Source organism: Homo sapiens, chromosome 10 (assembly GCF_000001405.40).
Source record: "Homo sapiens chromosome 10, GRCh38.p14 Primary Assembly".
Classification (NCBI taxonomy): Eukaryota; Metazoa; Chordata; class Mammalia; order Primates; family Hominidae; genus Homo; species Homo sapiens.
In genome coordinates, this window is record NC_000010.11 from 59478869 (window position 1) to 59491919 (window position 13051).

General features: G+C 37.0%; 1 long non-coding RNA gene across 1 annotated transcript in view; it reads right to left on the minus strand.

The window, feature by feature from the left end:
• Window positions 1-675: 675 nt before the first annotated feature.
• Window positions 676-13051, minus strand: part of LOC107984235 (uncharacterized) — a 59254-nt gene continuing 46878 nt past the window's right edge. The window contains exons 2-3 of the long non-coding RNA XR_001747457.1: window positions 2362-2583; window positions 676-802 (exon numbers count right to left, since the gene is read on the minus strand). This is a non-coding gene — a long non-coding RNA (uncharacterized LOC107984235). The remainder of the gene's footprint in view (window positions 803-2361; window positions 2584-13051) is intronic.

Sequence of the window (13051 nt, forward strand, 5' to 3'; positions counted from 1 at the left end):
GCTCACATTCCATTAGTGAGAACTAGTCACATGGTCACAGGTAGATACAAGGGCTTGGTGGGGGGGCAGGCATGGGCAGCTGGACAATTTAGCCCTCACTGGGGCAGCACCTTCCAGCCACGAGTCTACACTGTAGAGGCAGAATATGCATCTCTGATGGATGGCTAGCCATCTCTGCAACCCTGCTGGAGATTCTAAGACCTAAGATGAATCTGACTCATTCTGATACATGTGAGACTCTCTAACCAAACAAGACAGAAAGAATTAACACCTAACCAAATCCTTTCCATCTCTGCTAACTCACACCTTCTGAGAGTTAATTTAAAGAGCTAAAAAGAACCTGGAGAAAAAGTGTGAAAGCATTTTGCTAGGATCCATAAAAGTGGGTACTGACTAGAACAGAAGACCATAGACAACAACTTGGCTTTCTGCCACCGGGTGCCAAAAATAAGGGTTTAGACCCATTGCATACAACAGAGTAGCCCATTTTCTAACAGTGTGAGTTCCCAGGCTCAGGATTAGATTTCACCTAATGTGCAACATCACACTCCATTGCCTAGAGCCCAATTACTCCAAAGCATGAGGCTGTGCCCCCCAATCACTGTGCCTACGTAAGCAGATTAGAGTCACCACATTTTTTGTATTAAAGATGATCTGCTTTTTATTTACCTCAAATGATTTCAATTTCCAGGAAGCAGGAAGATGACAGAATGTGTGCTCGAGTAGGCAGCGGGAGGCAACGGGGCGGAAGTATCATTTCTGTCAGCATTGCCATCTTGCCCCTGGGAGTTCTAGCAAAGAGCTGAGAGAGGGATTTAGAACAGCGGTCACCTTTGATTAAGAACAGTGGTCACCCTCATTTTGCTCACTGAAGCTTTAATTGTGGATTCTGATCTGCTGGTTGGGGACTTTTGTATGAGACAGAAGCATGTAGCATTATCCTAGTACAATAGTGAATATAAATTGTTATTATAGAATCCTAGCATGACTAGGAAACTGAAATTCAGTTTATCAGGATGCTCCCTTAGACCCTGGATTCATGTATCCATTGGAGGGGATTTCTATGACTCTTCCTCCTCATACTCCTCCATCCTCCAGTTGCCTAGGCAGGGCTTTTGCTCCACTCTCTACTGAGGCAGGGGGGAAAGTCTCCATCACCATCTCTCTTAGTATCTTAACTAGTTCCTTGCCAAGGGAAGGGGACAGTCTCTGAACTGAGAGTTTAGCATCTATGGAGGTATGTTTCCAGCCCTCTGTTTTCTGTTTAATTATTTTTCTGCTGCTGCTTCTATTGTTTGTATCAGGGTGGGCAAATTGAAGAAGCAACATGGACTTTTTTCCACCTTCTCTGTGCTGTCCACCTCACAGTGGCCCTCTTCTCTTTCTTGCTCCCTGTGAGGGTGAGTTCTGCCTTCTAGACACAAGGCTGAAGGTTCATATCTCCCTGGTATTCAAAATCTATTGGCAACTCTGTATATAAAGGGGTTTATTATCCTCCACTTTTAGGCAAATGAATTCAGGGTCTATTTTTGCTCCAATTCTCCCCACCAGCAAATCACAAGGTCTGAGCATGAGCAGATGTTAACAGAATGCTTCCATTTTGACTTCAGGCTAGGCTATTTTCTCCCATCCAGCTTTCCCAAGGAGCCCTGTATTTGGAGAACTGTGTTAGTCTGTTTTCTCCCCACTAATAAAGACATACTCAAGACTGGGTAATTTATAGAGGAAAGATGTTTAATTGCTTCACAGTTCCACATGGCTGGGGAGTCCTCAGAATCATGGTGGAAGGTGAAAGGGGAGAAAGACACATCTTACATGGCAGCAGGCAAGAGAGTGTGTGCAGGGGAACTCTATAAAACCATCAGATGTTGTGAGACTTATTCACCACTGTGGGAACAGTGTGGGGGAAACTGCCCACAAGATTCAATTATCTCCACCTGACCCTGCCCTCGACATGTGGGGATTATTATAATTTAAGGTCAGATTTGGGTGGGGACACAGCCAAACCATATCGGGAACCATTAGGGCACCATTTGTAAAGCCAACTTATTAATCACTATTGATTCCCTGAGTCTGTTCCCTACCAGTTAGAACCAAGTGAGAGGAGTGATGAGAGGTTGGAACCTCTACCTTTTGACATGGATAAATGAGTTAAATAAAGGATCCCAAATAATCCTACTATACAGTACTATGCACCCTCAAATCTCAAAATATAATCAATTATGTAGAAACAATACCAACTGAAGGCACTTTTTTCTACCTCTTTCTCTTACCAAATAATTGAAACCATATCATTTGTCCTTTATATACTTCAGGAAAAGTAAAAAATATGACAGGGGAATTCTGAGATGTATTGCCTACCATTTCTGGTTGTCAGTTTTAATGTTTGCTGAATACTGTGTTGGCATATGACATCTGTCTTAAGTAGCAGCAATGCATCCTCTTGGACTCCCTCTGAGGTAATGCATCTTCCCTCCACTACTGAGCTGGGCCTTTTTGCTACCCCAACATTTTGCAGCTGCTGGAACCTCTCCTCAGTCTGGGATGCTTTCCTCTATGCCATCCAGAGTCCTAAAGGGAACACTGGCGGAAGAAGGGAATTAGAAAAAAAAAAAAAAAAAAAAAAAAAAACACTTAGAATTTATCTAGTTCACACATACCAAGTTAATATTTAATTTTTTCAAATTTATATCTTTTTTCATGGATTTCCTACAACTAACAATTTATGGTACTAAATCTGAATGAAAAAAATTCTGTAACCTGAAGAATTCATGTCCTAAGTTTTCTGGGATAAAAATAAGCAGAGCAGCAATTGAAATTTGTATTTCTCAGAAGGTAACAAGTATGGGGTCAGTACAGAAATCCCCTCAGGTGTCCTGAAGCCAGCTCTCCCCACTACCTTACTGATGCTCTTATTGATTTTCTTCTCCTTAAATATGGAATGTGTTTGCAAAGTCCCTGCACCCTCCCTTTTTGGAAAAATAAAGAAAACAACAAAGATACCCACTGTAACAGAAAAATAAAATATACTGTCAGCTGGAGAAGCTTATCCAGCCCTTGCTGGAGCAAGATCATTGTGGTCTCTGAAGAAAAGGAATGATGACAGAGGAGAGAAAAGTAAGCATAATAGAAGGACCAGACTGAGAGAAAGAGGGAGAAAACAAGGGTTATGGGGATGAAAGGAAATAGTAAGAAGGAGGAGGAATAAGACTGAGGAAAAAAAGGTATGTGTTTTGTGGGATAAACTTAAAATCACAGAAGGCATAAAGTATCTGCCTGTAAGTCAGGAAGCGAATATATGGTGAGTACTTGCATCTGTGCAGGATAAATGCCATGGCAAGATATCACTAATCCAGGGGGTAAAATCCATTCTCTGTCACTCAATTGCTGAGAAAACTTCAGTAGCTCTACATGACCTGCGACTGAGGGGCAAACACTAAAGTGGCAGACACTGGAGGCGTTTGATAATATGCCTCCATTTTTCCAAATACAATGGGATATCCCTTCAGTCCCTAATGTGAACCTCTTCTCCCACCACATGCTTACGTCCTGCAAGTCCAGAGAGTTGATGGCACTGCTTGACCACACTTCTGCCCCTGCCTGTATTACCCTTTTCATTCTTCCCACACATCTACACGGAAATCCTATTCGACTATCAGGACTCACTTCACATTCCATCTCTTCCCAGAAGTTTTCCATAACCACCCCAAGCCTCAACTGATCTCCCCCATTCTTTGAAATCTGGTTAAACTAGACCTGAATTATTCTCTTTCTGAAAGAAGTTGGAGAGTGAATGAACAAATGAATGAATGAAGCAAATAAACTGTTTCCACATTTATTTACATTCTTAATTACTCATTGCCTTGCAGTGTTGATTACCGCATGTGTAAACCTTTCTCTTCTCTTACAGATTGCACACTCTAGCAAAGTCAGAACACAACAGACCCAGCATCACAAAAATACTTTTAATACTGAAATTCTTCTGCCTCTCTACCTTCAATGGATAACATTTCTTAGTGTCAATCAAAGGGAAAAGGTGTTCTATATGTGAAATTCCTCTTTGACTAAATGTGTCTGTGGAATTCAGGTTCTAGTAGATTCTGTTTTTTTAAAGAAACATCTTCTGCTTCAACTTTTAAGGAACAGGAAGCAATTTCTGAAAATCAAAGGAGGTTTCCCTTTTCCACACTAGCATCCCTCTTGGAAGGAAAGACGACTCCTGCCTGCTGAGCCATGTGGAACCAGGAACTGAGACAATGTCACATGAAAACTGTCCCACTGACTCGGCACTCATTTGCGTGATACTGTTTTTAAACAGAGTTTGAAGAGCCACATTCGCTGAGACCAACTGGCACGAAAAAAGTCTACCGAGAGTAAGCTTATAGTGGGGGCCACATTTTCATTGTTAATGTCATGATTTAAAAAAAAAAATACTTTTTAAATTCGTGAAAGTAAGTTTATTTTATTTTAGATTTAATCACATTAGACAAGATTGTAAATATACTCTATTTATTAGCAAAGACAGAGTGAACCAAACAGAGATAGCTAAGTTTTCTGACAAAACTGATTACATAACACAACATCATTCATCATACATTTAACTTACACAGTATGATTATGAAAAAAATTACTTTTGCAAAAGTATTTAAGAGTGTCATCAATTTTCCAAATAATTTCTCTCAATACTTTGGTAGGCAAAGACTGTACCTTCTTCTGAAGGTATCATATCATTGCCCTTGCTGATTCTTTCCTCCAGCATTTTCTGCTCAAATATTACCAGATTTTCTTTGTCAATGGCTTTAGAGGGATCTACCCAGCTCTTCAACATTAACTTATTATCTTCAGGAAATCCTGCATCTTTTATGAGATTAGAAGTTTCACTTTATTATTGAATTCTATGCATTCACATTATATTACCCGTTATTAAGCAGGAATAATGTTAGATCAAAAAAGACATTGACCTGTTGGACCAGCTAACATAACAGTGATAAGTAGTAAGAAATAATTGAATTGACTAATTTAATACAGGTGTTTTTCAAATGGCTATTGCTTTCCCATAGAGCTAACTAATGTCTGGATCTCCGAGAATAAACACTAGGACCATTAGGATCCTCTACTGTATACTTCAGTGCCAAAGTAAGTCTTCAGAATAAATTGATCTGCAAACAATTTGCTTCTAGTCTTTGAAAAAAATAAATACAGAAATTTAAAGTTAATTAAAGTAACTTTTATAAAAATTTAGCATTTCTGGGACAACAAAGCATGGATCAGTGAATCTGTCTAATTGAATGAGATATAGACTATTTTGGGTGTTGTTGGATTTATGCAATGAGCCAGCATGCTGCAAGCTGCATACTAGGCATTGTGCAGTAGAAAGACCATGTGTTAGTCTGTGATGAATTGGGATTTTTAAAAATTGATACTTCACCACAGATACTTTGAGAAATACTGCTCTCTTTTATTCCATATAGCATCCAATGGTTCAAAAAAACATAAACCTTACCCATGTGGCAATACAAGTCCTATAGTAAACACATCTTTCCAAGGGGGACTTTTGGTCATCCCTTTTTTTTTTTTTTAATAAAGTGACAAATCCTTTGTTTTAAATTTTTTTTCTCTCATTACATTTTACATCTGTGGATACACTTTACCATTGTAACTTTCTGAAATGAGCTGTCTCAGAATAGAATTCCTGACTTGTGAGATAGAGATCCCCATTGCTGGAGTTGTTTAAGCAGAAGCATGAGAACCACCTGGGGATGATTTTGCTAAGGGAGATTAGTATATGAGATGAATTTTGGAATTGTCAAATTCCTTCTGACTTAGAGATTCTTCAACCATATGACGGGACTTCAAATAGTTCATGGGAAACTGGAATTGAAAGATAAAATTTTTAAAAAATGAATTTTATTTCTCAACATAAGCTCTTTGAAGTTCAAGGCACTTTTGGAAGTGATGATACCAGCCATTTAGCCCATCCCTAAAGAACTGAGAATCCTGGGAATTTAATCATGTCAATTCAATCTGTTTTACATTATTAACTTAAGAAAATTGGGCACCCTTTACGGATTTTTTTAAGATTAAAAAACAAGCCAGGTGTGGTGGCTCACACCTGTAATCCCAGCACTTTGGGAGGCTGAGGCGGGTGGACTACCTGAGGTCAGGAGTTCAAGACCAGCCTGGCCAACATGGTGAAGCCGTGTCTCTACTAAAAAAAACAAAAATTAGCTGGGCATGGTGGCATTCACCTGTAATCTCTGCTACTCGGGAGGCTGAGGCAGGAGAATCACTTGAACCCAGGAGGCGGAGGTTGCAGTGAGCTGGGATCATGCCATTGCACTCCAACCTGGGTGACAACAGCAAAACTCCATCTCAAAAAGAAAAATTAAAAAATATATATATACACATATTTGTTTATTATACTTTAAGTTATGGGGTACAGGTGCAGAACATGCAGGTTTGTTACATAGGTATACATGTGCCATGGTGGTTTGCTGCACCCATCAACCAGTCACCAACATTAGGTGTTTCTCCTAATGCTATCCCTCCCCCTGCTCCCCTCTGCCGACAGACCCCAGTGTGTGATGTTCCCCTCCCTGTGTCTATGTGTTCTCATTGTTCAACTCCCACTTATGAGTGAGAACATGCAGTGTGTGGTTTTCTGTTCTTGTGTTAGTTTGCTTAGAATGATGGTTTCCAGCTTCATCCATGTCCCTGTAAAGGACATGAACTCATCCTTTTTTATGACTGCCTAGTATTCCATGGTATATATGTGCCACATTTTCTTTATCCAGTCTATCATTGATGGGCATTACAGTTTGTTCCAAGTCTTTGCTATTGTGAACAGTGCTGCAGTAAACATACATGTGCATGTGTCCTTACAGTAGAATGATTTATAATCCTTTGGGTATATACCCAGTAATGGGATTACTGGGTCAAAAGGTATTTCTAGTTCTAAAGATTAAAAAACAGAAAGAAGTCAGAAAGAGCCAAATCAGGACTGTAAGGTGGATGCTAATGATTTTCCATTGAAACATTTGCAAAATTGCCCTTGTTTAGTATGAGGAATGTGCAGGAGCATTGTCATGCTGGGAAAGAACTCTCTGGTGAAGCTTTCCTGGGCATTTTTCTGCTAAAGCTTTGACTAACTTTCTCAAAACACTCTCATAGTAAGCAGATGTTACCATTCTTTGGCCCTCCAGAAAATCATCAAGCAAAATGCCTTGAGCTTTCCAAAAAACTGCTGCCATGACCTTTGTTCTTGACTTGTTCTCTTTTGCTTTGACTGGACCACTTCCACCTCTTCGTAGCCATTGTTTTGTCTTCAGCATCATAGTGGTAAAGTCATATTCCATCCCATGTTGCAATTCTTTGATGAAATGCTTCAGAATCTTGATCTTACTTATTTAAAATTTCCATTGAAAACTGCTCTTGTCTGCAGCTGATCTGGGCTTAATGGTTATGGCACTCATTAAGTGGAGAGTTTGTTCAGCTTTAATTTTTCAGTCAGAGTTGTGCAGGCAGAATCAATTGAGGTGTCTATGGTGTTGGCTGTTGTTTCTGCTGTTAATCATTGGTCTTCTTCAATTAGGGCACAAACAAGATTGATTTCTTTTCCTTCTAAATTGATGTTGATAGTCTGCCTCTGTGAGCTTCATCTTCAACCCCATCTTGTTCCTTCTTAAAATTAGTTATCCATTTGTAAACTGCTGGTTTGGGATAGTTTTCTCATAACTTTTTGTAAAGCATCAGTGATGTCTCCATTCTTCCACCCAAGCTTCATTATAAATTTGATGTTTGTCCTTGCTTCAAGTTTAGCAGAATTTATGTTGCTCTGATAGGGGCTGTTTTCAAACTAGTGTCTTATCCTTCTTAGTGCCTCAAACTAAGTTCTGTTCACACACACTATAACAAGTTAGTTGTAGTTTATTTTGATGCAAAAAAATTTGAAATTCATTTATAGTTTCTTCATAATATGCATTTTCCAAGGACTTTTTGAAGACCCCCCTCATACTTCATCACTAAGGGAGTCCAGCTAAATGAATTTCTAGATGTTTTTCCAGAAAAAATAAGCAAGACACAAGAAACAACCACGAGCAAAGAAACTTGGAAAGTAGTGGATACATTTAAACAAACACGGAATATATAAATATAAAATAATCATAATGAATTATTTTCCAGGTTAACCCCATTACTTAGGTGCACAATTTTGAGCCTCGTAATCATTGTTCTGGAAATACTATAGTTTATTTTTGTAGCAGACCTGCTCAGTTCTCACCTGCATAACACCCCCAGGACAGGCATTTGATCACTGTAAGACTGGAGCTCACAGTTAAATTCTTCTATTTTCTTCCCCCATATAGACCAGCCTGAGATGCTATGGTTCATAAGCCTATGAGAAAACACCCCATGAAATCAAGCCATCAGTTCTTCTTGATATCAAGCAGTGGCCAAGTTTTTAAGGGACTCTCATGCTGATTCTCTTTTCTTTCCAGCCTCACTTCTCTTTCCTTTCATTCCCACTCCCCTGATATAACAGTAGTACATAAGTGTTTGCATCAGTCTCTGCTTTCTGGGGTACCAAAGCTAAAGCAAAAATAATTATATTAATGCAAGCCAAGTCTCACATGCTTTCCTGTTAGTCCTATTATGCCACTAATTTATATTGAAATTTTATCTAAAACTCTGAAATCTGTTTCTTTGTTGCAACAACATTAACAACAACAATAATATAACTAGCATACACACTGTTTATTGTAAGCCAGGTGAGTGTAGATGCTATATAGATATTAACTCATCCAATCCTCCCAACATACCTAAGAGACAATTACTTTTATGATTACCAATTTACAGCTGTGGAAATTGAGATGCAGAGAACTCAAGAACAAGCACTTAATTTGCTTGTCCAAGATCACACAGCTGGTAAGTCGTAGTCCCTGGAGTTGGACCAGACACAGTCCTCGAGTCTGTGCTCTACTCACTCTTTTAGCTGCATTTCCACTGCTAGATTTTTAAAACGAAGCATGGGCTTTTCTATTTATTTCTCTTCAATTTTATCTCATTAGAGTTCAGTTTATCGTTTAAGCCAGTCAATAATTTTGGGATGACCATTTATCATTATCTCTTTTCACCAACCTTCCAGTTTCTTACCCCATTGAAACTTCACTGGCCTTCCACTAATATTTTTTGCTAGTCATTAATAAAATGATTAGTCAGGCAGGCAGATATGAGGACAAAGTCCTATGACAAATTACCAGAGATTTACTTCCAAGTTGATCAATCTTGATCAATCAATAACAAATTTAATGTAACTATAGCATAGTCCCTATTTATTTATCTCATCTACAGAGAGAAGCAAGAAAGATATCGTTAGTCACCTTAATAAGATCCAGTCATACTACATAAAAGCACTCTCTGAATCTATTGCTCTAATAAATAAACCAATTAAGAAAGAAATTTGGTTTAGTGACATATATTTCACTTTTAGTGAATCCATATCAACTCTAAATGATCATCTTGTTTCTTGAATCATCTGTTTGTTATTTTATTCCAGAATTTTGCTTTGGAGGAATCTCTAGCTCACGAAAGAAAAAAAAAATACCTTCTTTCTTGTAAAAAAAAAAAAAAAGTTCATCTATTTTTTCCTTTGCAGTTTTTTCATATGTCTTCCAGTCCATAGAGTTCCATAAAGGGTACAGAAAATGCCTCTTACCTGCAAGCTATCTTTGTGCCTCACAGGGTTTTATCTCTTCAGATCAGAAGACTTGAATTTACTTAGAGTGAAAAATGTTCAACAGAAATCATTCCTGTCTAGATCATCAATTCTCTTTCATTGAACTGGCCCTGGCCTTTGTGTCATTTTATACAATGGAAGTTCAGTAAAACTTGTGTAGTTCTGCCTCATCTTTAAGTCACGGATGTTGCATTTACAACTACTTGGAGCTTTTTAAATTTTGATTCTCTCAAGTGCTTTTACATCACATTAACAAGCTTAAGTATCTGTAAAGTTATTTTTTATTTTAGTTAACACATAATAATTGTACATATTTATGGAATACAAAGTGATGTTGCAACGCATGTATACAATGTGTATTGATCAAATCAGGTTAATCAGCATATCCATCTACTCAAACATTTATCATTTCTTTGTATTGGAAACATTCAACATTCTTCTAGCCATTTGAAAATATACAATAAATTATTAACTATTAACTATATGCACACCACAGTGCTATAGAACAATGAAATTTAATCCTCCTATGAAATTGTAATTTTGTAATTATTAACCAACCTCTTCCTATCCTCCCCTCTCCCTACCCTTTTCAGTCTCTAAAAACTGCAATTCTCTTCTCTGCTTCTATGCAGTCAACTTTTTTTAGCTCCCATACGTGAGAACATGCAATATTTATGTTTCTGTGTCTGTTCTCCAGGCTCATCCTTGTTGCCGCAAATGAGGATTTCGTTCTTTCTATGGCTGAATAGTATTCCATTGTATATATATCACATTTTCTTTATCCATTCATCTGATGTTGAACACTTAGGTGGAGTCCATGTGTTGGCTATTGTGAACAGTACTACAATAAACATGGAACTGCAGATTTCTCTTCAGTATACTGATTTCCTTTCCTACATATAAAAACCCAGTAATGGGATTGTTGGATTATATGGTAGTTCTATTTTTAATTTTTTTAATAATCTCCATAGTTTTTTTTATTATGGCTATAGTAATTTACAACCCCACCAACTGTGTATAAATGTTCCATTTTCTCCACGTCCTCATTAGCATTTGTTATTTTCTATATTTTTGGTAATAGCCATTCTAACTAGAGAGAGATAATATTGTGGTTTTGACTGCATTTTCCTGACGATTTGTGGTGTTGAACATTTTTTCATATACCTGTTGGCCATTTGTATGTCTTCTTTTGAGATATGACCATTCGAATCCTTTACCTATTTTTCAATAAGATTATTTGGGTTTTTCCTGATAAATTATTTGAGTTCCTTATACAGTCTGATATTAGTCATTCCTTGTCAAATGAATAGTTTGAAAATATTTTCTCCCATTCTACAGGTTGTCTCTTCACTCTATTGATTGTTTGCTTTTCTGTGAAGAAGCTTTTTAGTTTGATATATTCCCATCTGTCTGCTTTTGCTTTTGTTGCTGTACTTCTGAACTCTTACCCATAAAATCCTTGCCTAAGCCAATGTCCTGAACAATTTCCCCTACGTTTATTCTAGTTAAGTCTTCAATTCATTTTTAGTAGATTTTTATACATGGTGAGAAATGGGGGTTTAGTTTTCTTCTTTTACATATGGATATCCAGTTTTCCCAGTAGCATTTATTGAAATGGCTGTCCTTTCTCCAATGTATGTTCTTGGTGCCTTTGTCAAAACTCCATTGGCTGGAAATATGTAGCTGTATCTCTGGGTTTTGTATTCTCTTCCATTGGTCTGTGTCTATGTCTATTATGTCAGCACCATGCTGTTATGGTTACTGTAGCTTTGTAGTAAATTTTGAATTCACACAGTGTGATGGTCCAGCTTTGTTCTTCTTGCTTAGTATGGCTTTGGCTATTCAGGGTCTTTTGTGGTTCCATACAAGTTTTAGGAATTTTTTTTCTATTTCTGTGATGAATGTAATTAGTATTTTGAAAGGGATTACATTGAATCTGCATGTTGCTTTGGGCACTATGGTCATTCAACAGTATTAATTCTTCCATTCTGTGAACATGGGATGTCTTTCCATTATTTTGTATCCTCTTCAATTTCTATTGTAGCTTTTACTGTAGGTTCTTTCACCCTTTAGATTAAATTTATTTCTAAGTATTTTTACAAGTATTATAAATTGAATTGCTTTTTTCCATTTCTTTTTCAGCAATTTTGTTATTAGTGTATAGAAATGCTACTGATTTTCCTATGTTGATTTTGTATCCTGTAACTTCTCTGAATTTGCTTATCAGTTCTAAGAGATGTTGCTGATGCTGAAATCTTTTTTTTCTGCATGTGAGATCTTGTCATCTGCCAGGAGAGATAATTTGACTTACTTCTTTTCAATTTGGATGCCTTTTATGTCTTTCTCTTGCTTAAATTCTCTGGCTAGGACTTCCAATACTATGTTCAGTAAAAGTGGTAAAAGTGGGCATCTTGTTTTGTTTTAGTTCCACTCAGTATAATGTTATATATAGTTTTGTCATATATGGCCTTGATTGTGTTGAAGTATGTTCCTTCTATGCCTAATTCATTGAGAGTTTTTGTCATGAAGGGATGTTGAATTTTTTCAAATGACTTTTCTGTGTTTATTGAGAGGATTATATGGTTGTTGTCCTTCATTTTGTTGATATGACATTCATTGATTTGGGTATATTGAACCACCCTTGTATCACTGGGATGAATCTCGCTTGATTATAGTGATTTACCTTTTTAATGTGTTGTTGGATTTAGTTTGCTAGTGTTTTGTTGAATATTTCTGAGTCTGTGTTCATCAGGGATATTGGCATATAGTTTGTTGTTGCTAATGTTTCTGTGTCCTTATCTGGTTTTGGTTTGAGGGTAATTGCAGAATAAGTTAGGAAGAATTGCCTATTCTTCAATTTTTTGGAATATCTTGAGAATAATTGGTATGGTTCTTCTTTAAATGTTTGGTAGAATTTAGCAATGAAATCATCTGGTCTTAGGCTTTTATTTGTTGGGGGACTTTTTATTATTGATTGAATCTCATTACTCATTAATAATCATTATTGATCTGTTCGGGTTTTTTAATTCTTCCTGATTCAATCTTTTTTAAATTTTTGTAATTATCTTAATGTATTTTCAATGTGAGAATTGAAGCTCAGTTCCTACATCAGTACTTATTCTCCACTGAAAGAATTCTTTTAAAAACACTCCTTTGGTTTTGTTTTGTTGTGTTTTTTTGTTTATTACTAGTTCAATCTTGGTAGATAATATGTGTTCAGGAATTTATCCATTCCTCTAGGTTTTCTCATTTCTTGGCATATACTTCTTCCTTGTAGGAAAAAAAAAGAAAACAAAATTTCTGGGGGCTTCAGGATGG